This window comes from Homo sapiens, chromosome 21, assembly GCF_000001405.40.
Source record: "Homo sapiens chromosome 21, GRCh38.p14 Primary Assembly".
In the NCBI taxonomy this organism is placed as follows: Eukaryota; Metazoa; Chordata; class Mammalia; order Primates; family Hominidae; genus Homo; species Homo sapiens.
In genome coordinates, this window is record NC_000021.9 from 28978396 (window position 1) to 29000551 (window position 22156).

A 22156-nucleotide genomic window follows, 5' to 3' on the forward strand; every position below is an offset into this window, starting at 1 on the left:
GTTTACTAGGTAATGTTAGGAAAACTGACTCACCATATATGAAGAAAAATGTAACTAGATCTATACTTAACACCAAATGAAAAGGTAGATTATTGATGAAGTGAAGATTTTATATGAAAGGTAAAACTGCATATAAAGCCTACAACTATAAAGCTAAAAAATTCAAAATATAAGAATATCTTTATGACTTAAAGGTGGGAATAGCCTTCATAAGGCAAAAATCAGTGACTTTGATCACATCAAAATTTTCTTTCTGACATAAGACACATGGGAGAGATGACAGAATGGGAGCTTTTTTGCATTGCCTAAAAATGACAAAAGATAATCTGTCATGAGATTAGAATTTTTAAAAAAGACAAAAAGACTAATATTTAATTATAAAAGGGACTCCTGCATAAAAAGAAAAAGAGAACTCCAAAGAAGGAAAAATGAACAAGAAACACAAAAACAAAAACGCTAAAAATTCTTGAAGAGATGCAAAATCACCAATAAGGAAAGTAATTCCAGTTAAAGAGAGATATCACCTGAATTCCTATTAGGCTGATGAAAAATTAAGCAGCTGAATGTTGCCTACTGAAGGCTAGAATACAAGGTTATGTAGTAGCAGCTGAATGTTGCCTACTGAAGGCTAGAATATAAGGTTATGTAGTAGCAGCTAAATGCTGCCTACTGAAGGCTAGAATATAAGGTTATGTAGTAGCAGCTGAATGCTGCCTAGTGATGGCTAGAATATAAGGTTATGTAGTAGCAGCTGAATGCTGCCTAGTGATGGCTAGAATATAAGGTTATGCAGTATAAGAGTCATCACGTATTGATGGTTGAGTCTAGAGTAATGCAGCCCTTCAGGAGAGCAATCTGGCACTATTTTAGGAAATTAGGTATGCACACACTTCACTGACTCAGCAATTCAGATAATTTCTTAAGATCCAAGGACACATGAATGAAGATGTTCATTGCTGCATTACTTGTGAAGGCAAGGAGTTGGAGGCAATCAGGATCTATCACTGGAGGAATGGGCAGGTTAAATGAATAGGTAATGCAAACTTCTGAATACTACAAGGCAGTTAGAAGTCATGAATCAGATGTACATACAGGAACATGATGGATCTCTTTTGAAAAAGTAATAAATGGAATAAAATATAACAGTATCATTTATGTGAATTAAAAACTCAAGCACACACAAAAGCACGTTTTTCAAAAATACAGTCAATCCTCACAAATCCCATGTTTGCCAATTCACCTACTTGCTAAAATTAATTTGTAACCCCAAAAACAAAACTTGCGGTGTCTTAGGCCGGGCACGGTGGCTCACACCTGTAATCCCAGCACTTTGGGAGGCCGAGGTGGGTGGATCATCTGAGGTTAGGAGTTTGAGACCAGCCTGGCCAACGTGGTGAAACCCTGTCTCTACTAAAAATATTTAAAAATCAGCCGGGCGTGCTGGTGGGCACCTGTAATCCCAGCTACTTGGGAGGCTGAGGCAGGAGAATCACTCAAACCCAGGAGGCAGAGGTTGCAGTGAGTCTAGATCACGCCATTGCACTCCAACCTGGGTGACAAGAGCGAAACTCCATCTGGAAAAATAAACAAAAAACTTGCAGTGTCTTGCAGTCATTTGTGGACATGCATAGAATGGCAAAAAATCTGAGTCACCCACGTGCACATTCCCAGCTGAGGTTGAACAAGGCGACGTTCCCTTATTTCAGCTCTCATACTGTAAACAAGTGTCCTTTTCACAGTACTTTTTCAAATTTTTGTGCTTTTGATTGGTGATTTCATGTTTTAAATGGCCTCCAAGCAGCAGCACTGAAGTGCTGTCTATTGTATCTAGGCACAAGAACGCTATGATATGCCTTACAAAGAAAATATGAGTTAGATACGCTTTATCCAGGCATGAGTTTTAGTGCTGTTGGCCGTGAGTTCAATGCTAATGAATCAACAATAGCTATGAAAAAAAGGTGTCTTTATACAGAAACACACATAAAACAAGGTTATGGTGGGGTGGGGGGAGGGGGGAGGGATAGCATTAGGAGATATACCTAATGCTAAATGACGAGTTAAGGGGTGCAGCACACCAGCATGGCACATGTATACATATGTAACTAACCTGCACATTGTGCACATGTACCCTAAAACTTAAAGTATAATAATAATAATTAAAAAAAAGAACTACCAAAAAAAAAAAACAAGGTTATGTACTGGTTATGTCAGTTATCAACTGACAAAAATGCTGTGAATAGCTCACAAGAACCTAACCCTGCATTTCCCGTAAGGGCAATGCCTCAGTATTCACTAAGTCAGTATTCATGATGAGTTTATAGAAAGTAACTACTAAGAATGATAAGAATCAACTGCACAAACAAAAGCACATATATTAAACATAGTAGACCAGTCAGCCAGTGAAAGTAGAGAATGGAGAGATAGACAAAAGGGAAAAAATAAATTAATTAAATGAGAAGAGACTTGCACACACCAATTTTAAGGTGCTATGAACAAAGGAGTATGGTAATTCATACTGATAATTCTAAATCTGAGGCCCAAACTAAATAAAAAAGTAAAAACAGAGTAACATTCTAGTAAGAGAGGTAATTCAGTAAATGAATAGCCTACCACACAGATGTGCTTGCAGAGTTCTAAGTATAAACAATAAACATAAAACATAAACTAAGAAGATGGGGGTAAGGAATCAGAGAAATGTCTTAAGATAAAAAAGATTAATATACCTGAGGTACACTGTGTTTTCCATACTTCCAAAACTTATTCTGTGATAAAAGAGACTTAAATTTCTCCTCCAGAGAATCAAGCTCATTATCAGGTAAAAGGCAAAGTAATCTCTTTAATGCCAATAAGGAACAAGTTACAACCCGGTAGAATTTAGCTTCTCTTTCTTCCTCTGGAACAGTTCTTGATATAAAACAAAATAAATATATTTAAAAATTTAGAATTAGCCAAACTATATATCTGGTGGTTCTATTTAAAATGTTTTATCATTAAATATCTACCAAAGTTGCTTTATTTCTATCTTCTATTTCCCCTGTGCCAACGCCCCTCAAAATGTAAACATACAAAGAAATTTAATCACATACTTTACTACTAATACAAGGTGAAAGTAGACGAAAAGCCAAGGCTTGCAATAAGTGAGAAAGTATACCGCTCTCGGTAGCATGTACAAGGGTGATCCCAGGGAATGGATATCAAGCCATCTAAGACTATTTTCCCTCAAGGACTCTTAAAACTTTGATTAGAATATAGAAGTAAACAAAATAGTTTACTACTCTTTCAACAGAACTATTTATATTCTTCAACTATGTTCAACCAGACCTTAAAATACTTCCTCCTACAACTGTCAAAAAGTAAAGAAGGAAACATATAAAAACATCTCTTTCTAATACAACCAAATGTGTAGCTCCCAGGTAATTCAAGTTAAATAGCAGGACAACTTGCAAGTAAAAGCACTTAATACAGCATCTCACATACAGCATTATGTTATTTTCATCTCTACATATATTATTCCTTCTTTTTAAAAATGTCACACAGGGCCGGGCCCAGTGGCTCATGCTTGTAATGCCAACACTTCGGGAGGCCGAGGCGGGTGGATCACCTGAGGTCGTGAGTTCGAGACTAGCTTGACCAACATGGTGAAACCCCATCTCTATAAAAAATACAAAAAAATTAGCCAGGTGTAGTGGTGCATGCCTATAATCCCAGCTACTCGAGAGGCTTAGGCATGAGAATCATTTGAACCCAGAAGCTGGAGGTTGCAGTGAGCTGAGACTGCGCCACTGCAATCCAGCCTGGGTGACAGAGTGAGACTCTGTCTCAAAAAAAAAACAAAAACAAAAAGTCACATTGAAATCATCTGATTACTTATGAGTGAAACAAATCCTTAACATGAGTTACAATGAAACAATACAACTTACTGCGGGTCACTGAGTGTATCAGGTGTTTCTTTTATAAGATGATCCTGCAGCACCTACAAAGGGGGGAAATACCAAAGCCTTTGGTTTTACTGAACTGTCAATGGTGAACAGACAGAGCCTAGTTAAATAAAATCCACTTTTTAAAAATCCCCATAAACATCATCTTACCTAAGAGCAGAATCAAATAGCAAAACTGAAAGGTTTGAATTTTACCAATTTTCCTTTTCCTATCAATTCCCAAGGTTAGCTGCTTTAGATACTTCTTCCCCACGCACCTATAAATACTCCTGACCACTTGTTCCTCCATTTCTCTTTCACACAGCAATGAAGTGAATGTGAATCTGGGAGATAAATTAGGCTCTGCTTTCCTCTCCCCTCTTTCTGTAAGCCTGCTTGCCCACAAAGAACACCATACATTGTGCTCTGCTCCATCACAGAGGAAGGTATGAGGTTTTCAAATATACGGAAGTCTGTTTCCTCCTGGGGTGCAGTGCAAGGGAGTCCACTGTTCCAGTAACTGCTTTATCAGCAATAACAATAACTAACACTTATTGAGCTTTTGCATGTGCCAGGTATTGCTTTGAGCACATTTTAGGCATTAACTAAATCAATCCTCAGAACTCCATGAAGTACAAGTTAATTCCTGCTTTATAGATTATGAAATGAAGGCACAGAAACTTGCCCAAGGTCACACACCTAGTTGCTAGCTGATGGCAGAGTGGGACTAGAACCAATGGTGTGACCCAGAGCCCATGTCTTATAGACAGTATGATATACTATCTATAATGCTGACATTTTGATTTTCATTTGCCTAACTCCTCTCTAATACATGGGTTTGGAACTGGAGACAGTTCAATGCCAACAGCTGTAATGAACTGTAACATAGCCAACTAAAGGGAAAATAAAATGGAAGAAATAACCCAATGTTCAATGATTAGTTATCCATCCATGACAAAGCCAAGAACAAATTTATTTTCTAAAGCCTATGAAGAGCCAAACTAGTTGTCTCAAAATCCATTTCCTAAAGCTCTTAGCGTCCAAACTCATGACACTTCACTCTTGTAACGTTTATAACTTGGCATTTTAAATCAACCAATGATTCTTATGCTACAGATGGGTTAGAAAACTCCATTTGAGCATATGATTAAAGCTACAAACCCTCTCTCTAGAAAAACACGCTTGGTACACCTGAGAAATGAAGAATGGAAGAACCTAAATGAGGTACTACAATCAAGTTATGTGTTGGGGAGTGCTGGGTGAAGAGATTAGATAGGGAAGCAGGGACCAGATCATGCAGAGCCTTGTATGTCAAGACAAGAAATTTGAACTTAAAAGTGTAATGGAGAGCCACAGGAAGGATGGCTAATTGAAAGGAGGAAGGAAAGCAGGGGGAGAGGGTCAGATGGAAATGTTTAAGTAGGGTTATACACAGGGTGTTGTGGAAACACAGGAGTACTAAATAAGGGAATAAATGCAAGCATAGATTTTTTAAAAAATTATCAATTCCCTCCTCACTTCTACTTCATCTACTTTTATTTCTCAATATAATTCTAACAACTTTGTTGTCTGGTTTTTCTAGTCCATATATTGGGAATAGAAAATGAAGGGGGAAGAAATGAGACACTACTAGAAACAGACACACTGAAAGCCACAAACAGGTATGGCTGGTAACTTTTTATGAGAAAGTTATGGCAAAAGTGTTAGCCCAGTGTGGAGAAACTTTATCTGAAAATGGGAGTATAAATTTGTTTGGCCTTTTGAAGGGCCATTTATCATTATAAAAAATTTTAATGTTCTTATTCTTTGGCCCAACATATGCTTACTAGAAGTTCTAGTAAGTATCACTCCCACAAGGGTATGAAGAGATCTACTCAAGAATGTTTACTGAAATAGCATTTGTTATGATAAAAATTGGAAAAAAATCCAAATGTATATTAATCTAAAAAGTTAAATAAACTACAGTACATCCATGTATAGTAATACCAGAGAGCCAATAAAAAGAAAAAGACACTAAGTTAGATCTGTATATATATATATATTGATATGGAAACACGAGAGAAAATAATTTTAGATTTATTTTTAGATATATTACTTGTTTAGATTACATAAAACATCTACTTTTTAAAAATATAATAAAGACTTCAAAATTAAAATGGAAAATTTAAATACTGTAGAAAGATCCAATCCAAAATGTTAATCTTGTTAAAGATCCAAAATGGTTATTTAACTAAACAGAATTTTAAAAAGGCAACCTTCAGTTGGAAATACTCTACTTACTCATTCCCCTACAATCCCAAGTAAAAGAGCTGTCATTATGCTTATAACCCTTAAATACTTAAAAAAAAAAAATAGATTCAGAATGATTCCAGAACTTACACTTGTAATTTCATCCTTACAAAATGCTATGGCTTCAGGTTGCTTGCTTGGAGGAAAAGCCGCTTCAAATGCATCTTTTGCTGCAAACGCAGCTGGTGTGTAAGTATCACACTGAGCCATTAGCCAATATCCCATTAAACTTTTTAAGTAGGGAGCCAACTGTTTCTTTACTTTAAGGATAAGTTTTTCAAAAGCTTGTTGTGTGGCTTCTCGGACGCGACGGTCATGATCCTATTAAAAATATAAATGTGATTTAAAATAGCTCTAGCCCATAAAAACAATCACAGACATTTCCGGATATGCTATAATGACCCATTACCAAGAATTCACCTATGTATTAAGCTAAACTGAAATCATTTTTTTTAAATCAATAATTTGGAGGTTTTTAAATCAGAAACTATGTAAAATAATTTATTAATTTTTCTTTCTCCCCTTCTCCCAATGAGATAGGATTGTATTCAAGACAGATTCAAAGTTGGGCCTTGAGGCCGAGCCTGGTGGCTCGTGCCTATAATCTCAGTACTTTCGGTGGCCGAGGCAGGCGGATTATTGGCGGTCAGGAGTTCAAGACCAGCCTGGCCAACATGGTGAAACCCCGTCTCTACTAAAAATACAAAAAATTAGCGGGGCATGGTGGCACACACCTGTAATCCCAGTTACTCAGGAGGCTAAGGCAGGAGAATCACTTGAACCCAGGAGACAAGGTTGCAGTGAACAGAGATCGCGCCACTGCACTCCAGCCTGGGTGACAGAATGAGACTCCGTCTCAATTAAAAAAAAAAAAAAAAAAGTTGGGTCTTCAATAATTAAGCAACTCACTCTCATTCTTCTGCAGCAAATATACAGGGAATAAAATCACTATCAAAATTTATTAAAACTGGAAAGCACCTGGGTAATTCTCCAGTAACAACCTAATTTCTGAAAACAGACTTCCTAAATGTTCTTCATAACCCAACACAATCCAATCTTTTTTTTTTTTTTTTTTAAAGACATTGTCTTGTTCTATTGTCCAGGCTGGAGTGCAGTGGTGCAATCTTGGCTCACTGCAACCTCCGCCCCACCGGGTTCAAGCGATTTTCCTGCCTCAGCCTCCCAAGTAGCTGGGATTACAGGCATCCATCACCACACCCGGCTAATTTTTGTATTTTTAGTAGAGACAGGGTTTCACCATGTTGGCCAGGCTGGTCTCAAACTCCTGACCTCAAGTGATCTGCCCACCTCAGCCTCCCAAAGTGCTGGGATTACAGGCATGAGCCACCATACCAGGCCCCAATCTCTTTTTTTATTTCCACGCTCTTCTCAAGTGTTAACAATTCAATCTGCATAACAATGCTGACATAACATTTAATAACCCTCACCAAAAATCAACATTATAAATTTGAGAGTCTCCATGACTCCAACCAAAAAATATACAACAGAAATAAACTAGCAAAGTTTTAATACTTACAAGTGAAATTTTGCAAAAAATTCTTGGCCAATATGGAAGAACTCCTTTCACAGTTTCTGTGTCTCTCTCTGTACACATGGTTCCAAATTCCTGCATAGCCTAAAAGTAAGTTATTAACATCATTAGGATTAACAACCATAATAACTGGCTATAGATTATTCTGTTCTGGAAGCTTTGTCTATTTTATGTAATAGGAGAATACACTATTTCTCTTTATGCCATATGAGACTAGTTTGAAGAGCTCTTTCACAGGCTACTACGGTAGAAACTCTTCAGTTGTTTTTTTAAAAATAAAACATCTACAAACAAAAAAACCTCATTTAAAGTTACAAGGTCAAAGTTACATTCCCTAATGGGAAAAACTATACAGCCAAAATTCCAAAGCACTTTAAAAAAGTTCACTGTAACAAACTAATTTACGACCTAGAAAATAAATATCAACTAAGTTTAAGACTCTGTGTCAGAAAAAAGTACAATTATAAAAGAACTTAGCAATAAATTGTTCATTTTTCTTTACATAAAACATGCTAATGACATTTTATTTTAACAAAGGGATTTTCTTGATAATTTTTATGAAAACAAGAAAACTTGCTTTTAATTTTGTGGTGACATCTTTCTTTGAAAGTTTCCGCAGCACCATTCGGAAATCAGAATCTACAAGACTGTCAATTTCTTCAGCTCCTTGAATAGCAGGAACATAGCCTAGGTCACTCTGAGATGTTCCAAAACCAATAAATCCAGGCACTGTTCCCTGTTCTTTGGCAAGGAGTTCTGCAGCTCGGCCACTGTTTGAAGGCTGATAAGAAAATTACGGAGAAAAAAGTCAGAGTCCAGGAAGGGTTCAAAACTTAACTTTATAATTCCTTGGCTATTCCCATGGTCAGAATGAGCTTTTATTTTATTTTCTTTTTTCCTAGCCTAAAATTTCATCTATTGCAAAGTTCCCCAAAGATTAATGGTTTTGTTGCCAAGAATCCATCAATACTGATCCTAGAAATTATTCTGTTTCTTAAACATTAGAATGTTTTGTAAACCATGGATACAATCCATTAGTGGCTCATGATATCAATATAATGGACCATGACAGAATTTTAAAGAAATTGATTAAAATTTTTAAAATCAGAATGTATCACATGCAGGAAAATTTTCATAAATGCTGTTATGAATTTTTTATTTCTAACTTTCATATAAATAGTATGTATACACATATGTATACTATGTAATGATGTAAAATGAACTCATAAATAGAACCCATCCTTTCATTCACCCATTAAATGAACAAATATTTATTAAACAATCACAATGGCCCAGGTCTAATGATAGCTGCCTCTAGACTGAGAGTTCCTTGAGAGTGGATACACTCATTTCCACACACTCCAAAGCCTAGCCTAACCTCTTTGGGCTAAAATTACATTATTATAGCCATAAAAATCAATACAACAGTCAATCTATAATACAGACTCCTTTGTTTTGAATCATAGTCAGTGGTTTCTTTGACTGATACACAATATAGTAGTCTTCTACTAAAAGGAGGTGAGTTGATACAGAGAAAGAAAATATTTGAACTGCTAAAAGAAATTAACTTATTGTTATCTAAACAGAAAATGCTTCAGTTTGACCACCAAGCTGACATCACAACCCATCTAAAGTCATCTATTTCTTATTTCTCTATAAGGATGTTTGCCAACGGTTATCCAAATGTGTGATTCAAATTGCTCATACCGGCCGGGCACAGTGGCTCACGCCTGTAATCTCAGCACTTTGGAAGGCCAAGGCGGGCAGATCACGAGGTCAGGAGTTCGAGACCAGCCTGGCCAACATGGTGAAACCCCATCTCTACCAAAGATACAAAAAATTAACTGGGCGTGGTGGCGCACGCCTGTAATCCCAGCTACTCGGGAGGCTGAGGCAAGAGAATCGCTTGAACCGGAAGGCAGAGGTTGCAATGAGCCAAGATTGTGCCATTGCACTCCAGCCTGGGTGACAGGGCGAGACTCTGTCTCAAAAAAAAAAAAAAACAACAAAAAAAAACAAATTGCTCATACCGGCCAGGCAAGGTGGCTCATGCCTGTAATCCCAACACTTTGGGAGGTCAAGGCGGGTGGATCACTTGAGCCCTGAAGTTCGAAACCAGCCTCGGCAACATGGCAAAACCCTGTCTCTACCAAAAACACAAAAATTAGCCAGGCGTGGTGGCATGTGCCTGTAATCCCACCTACTCAGGAGGGTGAGTCATGAGAATTGCTTGAACCTGGGAGGCTGAGGTTGCAGTGAGTCAAGATTGTGCTACTGCACTCCACCCAGGGCAACAGAGCGAGGCTCTGTCTCAAAAAAAAAAAAAAAATTCCTAATACCTAGCAAAAGTGTGTTTGGAAAATTCATCTGACAAGGAATAATCTGGCCTACTTCCTAAACTGAACTGAGTGAACAGGAAAGAAAATGATGGCCTGCATTACATTTGTTTTCAATCTGTAGCATTTAAGACTAATTCCAAAAAAGGTTCTCTATTTTTTTTTTTAAGTGAAAGTAAGTTTATTAAGAAAATAGGTCAGGCGCGGTGGTTCACGTCTGTAATCCCAGCACTTCGGGAGGCTGAGGAGGGAGATCACCTGAGATCAGGAGTTCAAGACCAGCCTGGCCAACATGGTGAAACGCCGTCTCTACTAAAAATACAAAATTAGCCAGGCATGGTGGCACATGCCTTTAATCCCAGCTACTTGGGAGGCTGAGGCAGGAGAATTGCTTGAACCCAGGGGGCAGAGATTGCAGTGAGTCGAGATTGCGCCATTGCACTCCAGCCTGGGCAAAAAGAGCGAAACTCCATTTCAAAAAAAAAAAAGAAAAGAATAAAAGAATGGCTACTCCATAGGCAAAGCAGCTGTTCTCTATTTTTTAAGTTTATTAAAATGAATTAATATTAATTATTCAATTCACCTTTCTCAATATTGGTACATGAATAAAGAGCCACAAAGGAAGTAGTTAGTGAATTATAATTCTTAAACTAAATATGATGACTTTAGGGTATCAGAATTTTCTACAATCTCATGTGTAAACGGTTTTATTATGAAACAGAATAAAAAACTAATTATTGCTAACATCTAAAGGAGTTGAGGCTGAAATAACAGAATTAGGAGTGATAACTAGGGGCAAAAGAGAAGGTATCAAATTTCCAGTCTCCAATTTAAAAGTAACAAGTTACTTTTAAATGCACTATCTTTTTTTAATGTCTACTTTAAATTTAAAATATAGTTACTCTTATGATCTTTGTATGTTAAGTGCTATACCCATAGTTCAATAAAAATTAAGAAACAATTCTATTTATGGCACTTATTTTTTTTTTTGTACTATGCCTACTTCTGTCTACACTCTTTCATGCCTAGCTTCTAGAGTTATTTGTGGTGGCAATCCTGAGTCTACAAAGACCAAACCAAGGAAGACTTACAAGACCTTTCACCATCTAACCTCAACTTTTCCCAGTCTTATCTCCTGCCACTCTTTCCTTCCCTTGCCCCACTTCCTTCTCCCTTCTTCAAATTATGCTGCCATCATTCATGCCCTAGTAGCAAACTGAATTCGAAGTTCTCTGAGGCAGGGCATGGTGGCTCACACCTGTAATCCCAGCACTTTAGGAGGCTGAGCGTATCTTTGGGCAGATCACTTCAGGCCAAGAGTTTGAGACCAGCCTAGCCAACATGGCAAAACCCTGTATCTATTAAAAATACAAAAAATTAGCCGGGTGTGATGGTGCATGCCTGTAATCCCAGCTACTCGAGAGGCTGAGGCAACAAAACTGCTTGAACCTGGGAGGTGGAGGTTGCAGTGACCCGAGACTCTGTCTCAAAAAAAAAAAAAAAGTTATCTATGTGATGGCCTTTCACAATTTGATCTTTATATAACCTTTTTTCTCTACCTGAAAACGCTTCCTTTCTTTTCACTGTCTGACAAACTCCTACTCATCTTTCAAACTCATGTTTGCAACACTTGCCTTCCTCCATTCTCTTCCATTCTCCCACATTCTTTCTTCTAATACCTGCATCATAATTCTTTAACATTTGCTTACATATGTGTCTGTATCATCAAACTAATAGTTCAAGAACAGCAGACATCTATTATCTCTGAATACCTGACATCCAGTATCAGAGTCTTCTATTGAAGACTTTGCCACATTAAAGTTAAAATCCCAACTCCACAACTTCCTGGCTACATGAGCTTAGGCAAGCTAATTTCTCTAAACCTCAGTTTCACCACATTTAAAATGAGATATGAGTAATTAATTCATTAGTTGGGTTGTTTTCATGATTAAGCATAAGTTTTTAAATCACCATAGTAATAACTGATTCCAGCAAGAATCAAAGGGTGCTCAAACCATTAGGTGAAAGTTTGTGGAAGAGCAGGACATTCACAGTTTCAAACTAACATATTATTTGTTATTGGCCAATGGAAAAATATAACTTTATAATGAACAACACCTTAACCAAGTAATTAAACAAATACCACCAATAAGGGGACAAACAGGTGCGAAGTGCCCCTGGTGTGTGATGCACTGAGAAAGACTCATCATCTATGAAGAATTCCTTCTAAAAATTGTTTAGCCTGAATCTAATCATAAGGAAAAAACTAGATGAATCTGAATTAATCAAACAAATGGCCCAGGCTCTTCCAAATTTTGTTAAAAAAGACACTCCTCTCCCCGCTTAAACAGTACTGAGAAACTGTCTAGATCAAAGAAACCCAAATGGTAACTAAATGGAATGAGTGATCCTTGACTGAATCTCAGATGTTAAAACGGTTTATCTTTTTAAAAAAGTCCCAGCCTGGGCAACATGGCAAAACTCTGTCCCTACAAAAATAAGCTAGCCGTGATGGCCTGTACCTGTAGTCCTAGCTACTGGAAAGGCTAAGCTGGGAGGATCACTTGAACCCGAGAGGCGGAGATTGCAGTGAGCCAAGTTCACGCCTCTGCACTCCAGCCTGGGTAACAGAGCCAGACTCTGTCCCCGAAAAAAAAAAAAAAAAGATTAGCCAGGAGTCCTAGCTACTAAGGAGGCTGAGGTGGGAGGACTGACCGCTTGAGCCCAAGAGGTTGACACTGCAGTGGGCCATGATCATACCACCACACTCCAGGTTTGGAGACAGAGCGACCCTGTCTTACAAAAAAAAAAAAAAGAAAAAAGAGAACATTATTGGGATAACTACAGAAGTCTAAATACAAGGCTGTATCCTGGATTACAGTATTATACAAAAGTCAAAGTTTCTGCATACTATAACCATTATTATAATTGCTGCAGGCTAGAAAATGGCATTGTTTTTAGAAGATACATGCTGATGTATTTAGGAGTTAAGAGTCCCGACTTCTGCAACTAACTCTTATAAGTTCAGAAAAATACATAAATTAAGAGAGAGAAAGCAAATGCAACCAAGTATTAGCAATTGGTAAATGTAGGTAAAGAGTATATGGGATGTCGTTCTAATATTCTTGCAACTTTTCCTCATAAGAACTTTTCAAATATAAAACATTTGAGAAAATCTGTTAAATAAAAAACATTAAAAGATGCAAGTAAAGTGCTTAGCACAGTAACACAACAGGTTGCTATAATTGTTAATACTGTTATTATCTTCCAAAACAGATTAAGTGACAGATCTAAGAAAATGTGACATTGAAATCACTAGAATTAACTACATCAGAAACAGGAAAAAAAAGCATTCTCATAAAATTGGACTGTGCTATAATAAATCTAACACCATAAAAAAATACCATTACAAAACCCCTCATCGTGTAGTTTTACACGAATCCACTTTAAGGTCGTCCTTAAGCAAGTACTTAGTGAGCGTCTATTAGGTGCCAGTCTGTTCTAGGTTCCGAGGATAAAAACATTTGCTTTCAAAATACTTACGTCCTAGTGAACCAAGACAATAAATGTCATAAATACAATGGAGTAAAATAAAGTAGGAAGAACATGGGAGTGGGGAAGGGCTACCAAGAGGGTGATCATGGGAGACCTCACTGAGGTGTCGAGAGCAAAGTTTGGAGCCACCTAACTGAAGAGCGTTGGGAGCCGGCCAGGTAGTCAAGGCACAGTGAAGAGATCAGTGTGGCTGGATGAAGTAAGCCAAGAGGAGGGAGCTGAAGATGGGACTGCAGATGGAAAGGGGTAACAGGCAGTCCAGAAACCAAATATACCATCCTAAGAGCTTTAGCTTAGGAGAAGCCACTGTAGGTAGCAAAGGAGAGGCACAATCTGCGGTAACCTCCACAGTGGATTCACTTTAACATTCTCCCAACTCTCCTTCTTCCCAGCGCCGCCCTCCCCCAACCAACCCGCTACCTCGGCCAGATCACCTTCCAGTGAACCTGACACATTATCATTTCTTCATGAATATTATGGGTGTGTGCTCGGATGAGGACAGCTCTGGCATGGTACATCTTTTCTCTCACGATTCCCCAATCTGCTCAGAGATAACACAAACCGCTCTCAGGGACGCACACACAACAGAGAGGTCACACTCGACAGGGAAACACACGCCTCCCTACAGCCGCGCTCCACACACCCTCCAGCAACGCGCTGGGCGGAGCCAGCCGCCTCGAAGCGAGGCTCCCGGGTCGGCCGAGCCAGCCCCCGCTCACCCTCAGGTTCCCTTTAGTTCGCTGCTTGTTCTTCCCGCCCATGGTCGCGGTTGCAGCTGTACTCTGAGCACTCAGACCCCGGTTGACACGTCCGGGACACAACTTCCGGCTTCTGGCGGCGGAAGAGGACACCCTGTAATAACTTCCCCCGGGCCCTTTTCCGCCACCCACCCTGTCCATTTGCTGCCCCACTTCCGCTCCCGCCTCCCGCTGTGTCCCTGACCATCCGCCACCGGAGACGTCACAGCTAAAGCCACGCCTGTCTGAGTGATGTCATTCCTGGCCAATAGGAAGCCAAGCATTGGACCCGTGGCGCCAAATCCTGTCCTCCCCGCTTTCAGAAGCTAGGTTTGTTCCTTGCTTAGAGGGTAGGAAACTGGCGTGAATCATCAGAGGGGCAGTTTCACATAAGGGTAGCATTAGAATGTTATGGTAGAGGCTGTGGGAAGATGGGAGTGTTTTAGACTTCCAACATGATGCAATCATCAGTATCACCTGGGCGTTTTTTAGAAAAGGCCAACTCGGGCCCCTCAGAACTCCTGAATCAGATCCTGCATTTTGACAGTATTCCCAAGTCTTGTTAAAATTTGATTACTGCTGTAGGCACTATTCTCTCTAAATCTCCCCTCCCCGTCCCCTTTTATTCATATTGAAACTGTTAACGTGCAGTTTAGGAAAGAGGATAATGTGGGAGTCCCTATTAAAATTTGAAATGTACAAATCCTGTAACCCATTGATTGTGCGACTCAGAATCACACCAGAGAAACAAGTAAATGTGTGCTGGTTATTGTTTCTTGTCCACGCAGTCACCCTTTTATACTCAACTCCATGTTACTGGGGGGGCTTCTGCTAGATTCCACCAACAGGACGAACAAGAGGGAAACAAAGGCAAGAGGAAGAAGGGACTTGCTCCATTCTGTAAGCATCATGCCAGCAGCAGCTGCATTTTACCGTGGCAGGAGCAATTGCTTTAGCCAAAAGGTGGTTTTAATCTCTATCCTTTTTCCAACAATCACAGAATCAGCCTTATTGCACCCCTCAGAGATCACAGCAGCAGTCAGTGCTCTCCTCAGAGATCTGAATTCTACTTTCATGCGGCCCCTCCCCTGAGCTCCTGAGATAGCCAATGTTTGAGCCACCTCCTCAGAAGTTTGAGCCTCAACACCGTGGGATCCCTTCTTTGTGCTCCAGAGATCCAGTAACAGCCAGCCATCACCCTCTCTTCATTCTTCATAGGCCTGAACTAAGGTGTTCAGGGCCCTCCTTCAAGCTTTTAGGTTCTGATGACTCCAACCACTTCTTTTGTTCCATCCTTTCCTAGCTCTAGGAATGGTAGCTGCTACCTGCAGTGATTACCTGTTACCTTTTATAATTCCTTTTGACCAATTTCCCATATTAAAATATTTCTCAATAACTAATGTGATTTCTGTTTTCCTGACTGGACCCTGATTTTAAAATGCACACAAAAGCCAGGTGCAGTGGCTTATGCCTGTAATCCCACCACTGTGGGAGGCCGAGGCAGGTGGATCACCTGAAGTCAGGAGTTCGAGACCAGCCTGGCCAACATGGCAAAAACCCATCGCTACTAAAAATACGAAAATTAGCTGGGCAGTGGTGGCAGGTGCCTGCAATCCCAGCTACTTGGAAGGCTGAGGCACGAGAATCTCTTGAACCCGGGAGGCGAAGGTTGCAGTAAGCCAAGATCATGCCACTGCACTCCAGCCTGGGTGACAGAGCAGACTGTCTCAGAAAAAAGTCACACAAAGAGACATATTACAGGAGGTTCACAAAAACTTTATAATAGAAAGATAATTGTAAGCAACCTATGTCTATATATTGGAGAACTGCTAAATAAATTATATGTATTCAATAAGCTATTAGGCAACATTTAAGAAGAATAAGGTTTATCTGAACACACATAGGAAGAATTCTAAGACACATTCTTAAATAAAAAGCAAATACCAATATATACAGTATGATACCATTTGTGTTTTTAAAACCCACAACACAATAATATATATATATATATATTTATGCATATATATATAATATAAATACAGAGAATAGGCCGGGTGCGGTGGCTCACGCCTGTAATCCCAACACTTGGGGAGGCCGAGGTGGGTGGATTGCTTGAGGTCAGGAGTTTGAGACAAGCCTGACCAACATGGTGAAACGCCGTTGCTACTAAAATACAAAAATTAGCTGGGCATGGTGGCAGGCAGCCGTAATCCCAGCTACTAGGGAGGCTGAGGCAGGAGAATTGCTTGAACCCAGGAGGTGGAGGTTGCAGTGAGCCAAGATCGCGCCTCTGCACTTCAGCCTGGGTGACAAAGTGAGACTCCGTCTCAAAAAAAAATAATAATAAAATAAAGATCTGCAAGAATACATACCAGTCTGATCATTGTAGTGACTTTTTGTGGGAAAAAGTGGCAAGAAAAGACATTAGGGTTAAGAGTTATAGTCAAAGGAAATTAAGCCTTATCTGTAAGATTTTATTTTATACAAGGACAACATCTTCATGTATTAATTATGTAATTAAAAATCAACTCAGGCTGGGTGCAGTGACCGATGCCTATAATCCCAGCACTTTGGGAAGCCAAGGTGGGTGGATCACCTGAGATCAGGAATTCAAGACCAGCCTGGCCACGATGGTGAAACCTCGTCTCTACCAAAAATACAAAAACTAGCTAGGCACGGTGGCACGCACCTGTAACCCCAGCTATGTGGGAGGCTGAGGCAGGAGAATTGCTTGAACCCAGGAGGCAGAGGTTGCAGTGAGCCAAGATCGCGCCACTGCACCCCAGCCTGGGCAACAGAACAAGACTCCGTCTCAAAAAAAAAAAAAAAAAATCAACTCAACAAATATTGTTTGTTTAAAATAAATCATTGGTTACATATATCATGGTACATTGGTTATACAAATTGTAGTGTCCTCATTCTTGAGAGTTATACAATATAGCTGCAAACAGTTTAACACATTGGAAACACTACTAGATATCATGCCATTCACTGAAAATGTGGGTGTCACATATCAAAAATGCTACAGAAGGGGAAGATTAACATGTGCTTGAGTAGTCAGATAGGCTTTCCAAGCCAAAGCCCAAAGCTTGGAAAACATTAGGAAAAGTAAAATAAAAGGGAGAACATTCAAAATGGGGACGAGAGAGGGACAGAGACAGTGAGTTGGATTAGCATGGATTTCGGAAAGGACAGTCAAGAATCTAGCCTAACTTCAGTGCAGACTTACCCAGGGGGAAAAAAAAAAAAAAAACTTGAAGGACAAGACTGGAATGATTTTCTGTGCTCCTATTTACTAATTGTTTCCTAAATTTTGTCTGTTCTTGCTGGAAATATCTCTTCATTTCATTTCCTTGTATTCTGACGAGACTTTCCACCTTTTGCAACAGGGATCCATGCCTCTTGCCATGTTCCTCAACTACTCCAGGCCACACAGATCTCTCTTCGATTTTCCTAGGACATCAACTTATAACTGGTTTATTTTTTTACCCAGAAGTCAGTAGGATATTACTGCTTTGGGAACTTGAAAATAGTCTCATTGATTTAACAGTTTCTCATGTTTAGATTTTCCAGCAAGTCTGTAAATCCTTTGAAGGTGAGGCTATCTCCATGGTACTCTTAAACAGTGCCTGCCAAAGTAGATACCCGCAAATTTGTTTTAATTGATTCATACAAGGTTTTAGAAATCAGAAAATAATTGTTTCTATCAATACAGTAGGTGATAGGCAGAAAAGGTTTGGACAGAAGAACATTAAAAATAATGTTTAATTTTTGTCAAAATGTTAATGTTTATGTCAAGAAATGTCGGCTGGGTGCAGTGGCTCACGCCTGTAATCCCAATGCTTTGGGAGGCCAAGCCAGGAGGATTACCTCAAGTCAGGAGCTCGAGACCAGCCTGGCCAACATGGTGAAAACTTGTCTCTACCAAAAATACAAAAATTAGCCAGGCGTGGTGGTGCGTGCCTGTAATCCTACATACTCAGGAGTCTGAGACAGGAGAATCACTTGAACCCACGATGCAGAGGTTGCACTGAGCTGAGGTCACACCACTGCACTCCAGCCTGGGCAACAGAGCAAGACTCTGTCTCAAAAGAAAAAAAGAAAAAAGAAATGTCAATACTTTTAAGGCCAAGATTAGAAACTCTTCAGAAACCAGGTTGGGAGTTAAAAAAAAAAAAAAAAAGAGACTTGAAACCCTCCCTTCTTCATTCATAATTATTAATATTATAAATTCTTGTTTTCACAGATTAAGAGTTACACATCAGAATTATAGCCTTTTTTCCCTAAGTAAATATTGGGCATGCCTTACAGAAGTCTGATGTTAAAATAATCTTACCCATCCAGACAAGTTTCTGAGGAGGAAAATCAGACATCAAGCACTTAAAAATATATTTCGGCTGGGCCAGGTGGCTCACACCTGTAATCCCAGCACTTTGGGAGGCCGAGGCGGGTGAATCATGAGGTCAGGAGATCTAGACCATCCTGGCTAACATGGTGAAACCCCATCTCTACTAAAAATACAAAAAATTAGCTGGACATGGTAGTGGGCGCCTGTAGTCCCAGCTACTTGGGAGACTGAGGCAGGAGAATGGCATGAACCCAGGAGGCAGACCTTGCAGTGAGCCGAGATCGTGCCACTGCACTCTAGCCTGGGCAACAGAGCGAGACTCCGTCTCAAAACAAAACAAAACAACTCAGCATTAATTAATCTTTATTAAACTTGGTGGTACTTTACCTTCAACTGTTATTAAGATGTATTTTTTTGGGGGGGGGTACAAATACTTTTTAATGGGTTTAAAGTTTTTCTTTTTCTTTTTAATCTACTGGAAAATCATGCAATGCTGCGAGCATTGGACACAATCCAGGGCCACAAGTCTGCATACTCCTTTGCTACTGGTCCTATAATGGCAGAACCTTTCATTTTGCCTTTATTATTCACTATGACCCCTGCATTATCTTCGGAATAAAGAAACACACCATCTTTTCTCCGGTATGACTTTGGTTGTCTAATGACCGCTGCTGGATGTACCATTTTTCTGAGCTCTGGTTTGCCCTTCTTGACTGTGGCCATCACCATGTCACCCACACTAGCAGCAGAAAGTCTGTTCCGCTGTCCCTTGATCCCCTTCACGGAGATGATATACAGGTTTTTGGCTCCTGTGTTGTCAGCAGTTGATCACAGCTCCTACTGGAAGACCCAAGGAAATCCAGAATTTCACACCAGAGGACCTACCACGTCCTCGCTTTGACATCTTGAACGCTGGAAAGAAGGAAAAAAGTATTTTTAAATTCTTTTTAAGCAAACTTCTTATTTAAATAGCAGCAACACTACATAGGTAATATATGCCAGCAGAGCATTTGTTTGTCAACTGAGATCTGTAGAGAGTCAATTGAGAAAATAAGATATAATAGTTTGCTAACACTACAAAATAAATGTACAATAAGAATAATTTCAGTATATACCAGCTGTAACTCATCACAATTCAACATGAGATTGGGGTGGGGACAAATGTCCAAACTATATCAGAGGGATTTAAAAGAAAAGAAAATAACCATAATAGTACTAGAGGAATATATAGGTGAATTTCCAGTTCAAAATAGCATCTGCTAGCAGCCCCTCTCAAATTCACATACACACAAAAAAATTGATGAAAACATTGAAGACGACAAAAACAACACAACTAAAATTAAAACTGATGAAAAACAGACTTCCGGAATCTAGAAGGAAACTGTAATACTGAGTCTGGACTCAGGAAGTCAAGAAGGCAGGAAGGAGATACAGACACATGTATATATTATTTCCTTACCACATAAAACTGTGTCCTTTCCACGGTGGCTCATGCCTGTAATCCCAGCACTTTGGGAGGCCGAGGCGGGTGGATCACGAGGTCAGGAGATCAAGACCATCCTGGCTAACACGGTGAAACCCCGTCTCTACTAAAAATACAAAAAATTAGCCGGGCGTGGTGGTGGACGCCTGTAGTCCCAGCTACTCCGGAGGCTGAGGCAGAAGAATGGTGTGAACCCGGGAGGTGGAGCTTGCAGTGAGCCGAGATCGCACCACTGCACTCCAGCCTGGGCGACAGAGCGAGACTCCCTCTCAAAAAAACAAACAAACAAAAAAAAACTGTGTCCTTTCTTGCTGGTCTAACCCCTACTCCTATGTGCCCTACAAAGCCCTTTCTTCCCACATATTCTTTGGAATTGCAGCTTCGGTGATGAGCCAATATTCACCCTCAACACGTGTTTACAGTTTGGCTAATGACAGTGCTTCCATAGCAGCCTCTCATGAGTGCTGTTTATTGTCTAAAATCCTACCTACCTCAGGGGTCTGCAGATAAGAATAGGATCTTCTTTGCTTCCACTTTCCTTAAAACAATAAATCATTGTTTTTGGGCTGCTGTCAACAGAATACACCTTCTGACATCTGTCCTCTTACCAGCCTCCTGGTCACTCCCTTTTAGTCTCTAAAGACTTAGCACTTGGCTCTCCACCCTCATTCCAAACATCATCCTGGATGGTCTTTTTAAAGTCCTAATTAGGTTCATGTGGCATATCTGTCCATTGCTTGGCCTCTCAGTTATAAAAATCTTCATCTCTCATATCCTTTTCCTCCATTCCACTTCATCTACCACACCACAGTCACATCCTGATATTAATACTTAAATTTTCCCAATTTCACCCCACTCTTGGGTCACAATCTCTCTTGCCAGATTCCTCATTTAACTGTTTCCACCTAGACATTCTTCAAGGAAATCTTAACCTTGCATTGGCCCTTATATTTTCTCGCTAACTTTAAGGACTCTTTTCTCTTTACTCTCTTCATTGTTCACTTTAGAGTTCATGATCTTTTGTGTCAATCACTCTCTTGCCAATACCACGAAGTCTCTTGTACATCTGCTCTTTCAGCCTATTCATCTGGAGAAACCAAACACTACACAAAGCCAATTATTTGTTTTCAGCTTTTTTTTTTCCAGAGAAAAGTTGAACACTACCTGGAAAACAAACAATTTAGTCAACACAAGCTTTAGACCACTAAGAATTAATTATCCCATACCTTAGTTGTGTCTTCAATACAGCCCAACAAATGTACCATACTTCCGTAATGTCTTAGGACTCCCAGCAATTAATTATTTGAACACTTCTTCAAAACTCTGATCATTCTACCTTCCTCCTTGACTTCAACAGATGAGTTTTCCTCCAATTTCACAGTGAGAGGTGACAGCGTGCTGGCAGTCCTCACAGCCCTGGCTCGCTCTCGGCGCCTCCTCTGCCTGGGGTCCCACTTTGGCAGCACTTGTGGAGCCCTTCAGCCCGCCGCTGCACTGTGGGAGCCCCTTTCTGGGCTGGCCAAGGCCGGAGCCCGCTCCCTCAGCTTGCGGGGAGGTGTGGAGGGAGAGGCGCAGGCGGGAACCCGGGCTGCGCGCGGTGCTTGCGGACCAGCGTGAGTTCCGGGTGGGCGTGGGCTCGGCGGACCCTGCGCTCTGAGCGGCCTGCCTGCCCGCCCCGCCGGCCCGGGGCAGTGAGGGGCTTAGCACCTGGGCCAGCAGCTGCTGTGCTCAATTTCTCGCCGGGCCTTAGCTGCCTTCCCGCGGGGCAAGGCGCGGGACCTGCAGCCCGCCATGCCTGAGCCTCCCCTCCCCGCTTCCGTGGCTCCTGTGCAGCCTGAGCCTCCCCGACAAGCGCCACCCCCTACTCCACGGCTCCCAGTCCCATCGACCACCCAAGGGCTGAGGAGTGCGGGCACACGGCGGGGGACTGGCAAGCAGC

At 40.4% G+C, this 22156-nt stretch overlaps 1 protein-coding gene, 1 long non-coding RNA gene and 1 pseudogene across 5 annotated transcripts in view, besides 2 other annotated features; 1 reads left to right on the plus strand and 2 right to left on the minus strand.

Annotated features, from left to right (window-relative positions):
• LTN1 (listerin E3 ubiquitin protein ligase 1) overlaps positions 1-14482 on the minus strand; it is a 64734-nt gene extending 50252 nt beyond the window's left edge. For 2 of the 3 annotated variants that reach the window (NM_001320766.2, NM_015565.3), the window contains exons 1-6: positions 14369-14482; positions 8336-8539; positions 7744-7842; positions 6297-6527; positions 3921-3973; positions 2724-2904 (exon numbers count right to left, since the gene is read on the minus strand). In NM_001320766.2, coding sequence (NP_001307695.2) covers positions 2724-2904; positions 3921-3973; positions 6297-6527; positions 7744-7842; positions 8336-8539; positions 14369-14410 — 810 coding nt within the window. In that variant the 5' untranslated portion in view covers positions 14411-14482. Of the gene's footprint in view, positions 1-2723; positions 2905-3920; positions 3974-6296; positions 6528-7743; positions 7843-8335; positions 8540-14368 lie in introns of those variants that run through there. The other variant, XM_047440741.1, reaches the window with a different exon arrangement.
• Positions 14287-14396: an enhancer, noted in NCBI's record as "active region_18324". NCBI's record gives its function as "activates an Ori minimal core promoter by ATAC-STARR-seq in GM12878 lymphoblastoid cells {active_cell/tissue: GM12878}" and the evidence as "EXISTENCE:reporter gene assay evidence [ECO:0000049][PMID:35858748]".
• Positions 14707-14766: an enhancer, noted in NCBI's record as "active region_18325". NCBI's record gives its function as "activates an Ori minimal core promoter by ATAC-STARR-seq in GM12878 lymphoblastoid cells {active_cell/tissue: GM12878}" and the evidence as "EXISTENCE:reporter gene assay evidence [ECO:0000049][PMID:35858748]".
• LOC105372766 (uncharacterized) lies at positions 14708-15786 on the plus strand. 2 transcript variants are annotated; one of them, XR_007067835.1, is made up of 3 exons: positions 14708-14736; positions 15175-15286; positions 15387-15786. It is a non-coding gene; the product is annotated as an uncharacterized LOC105372766 (long non-coding RNA). The 2 variants fall into 2 exon arrangements; XR_007067834.1 differs by having other exon boundaries at positions 14708-15286.
• Positions 19161-19647, minus strand: RPL23P2 (ribosomal protein L23 pseudogene 2; annotated as a pseudogene).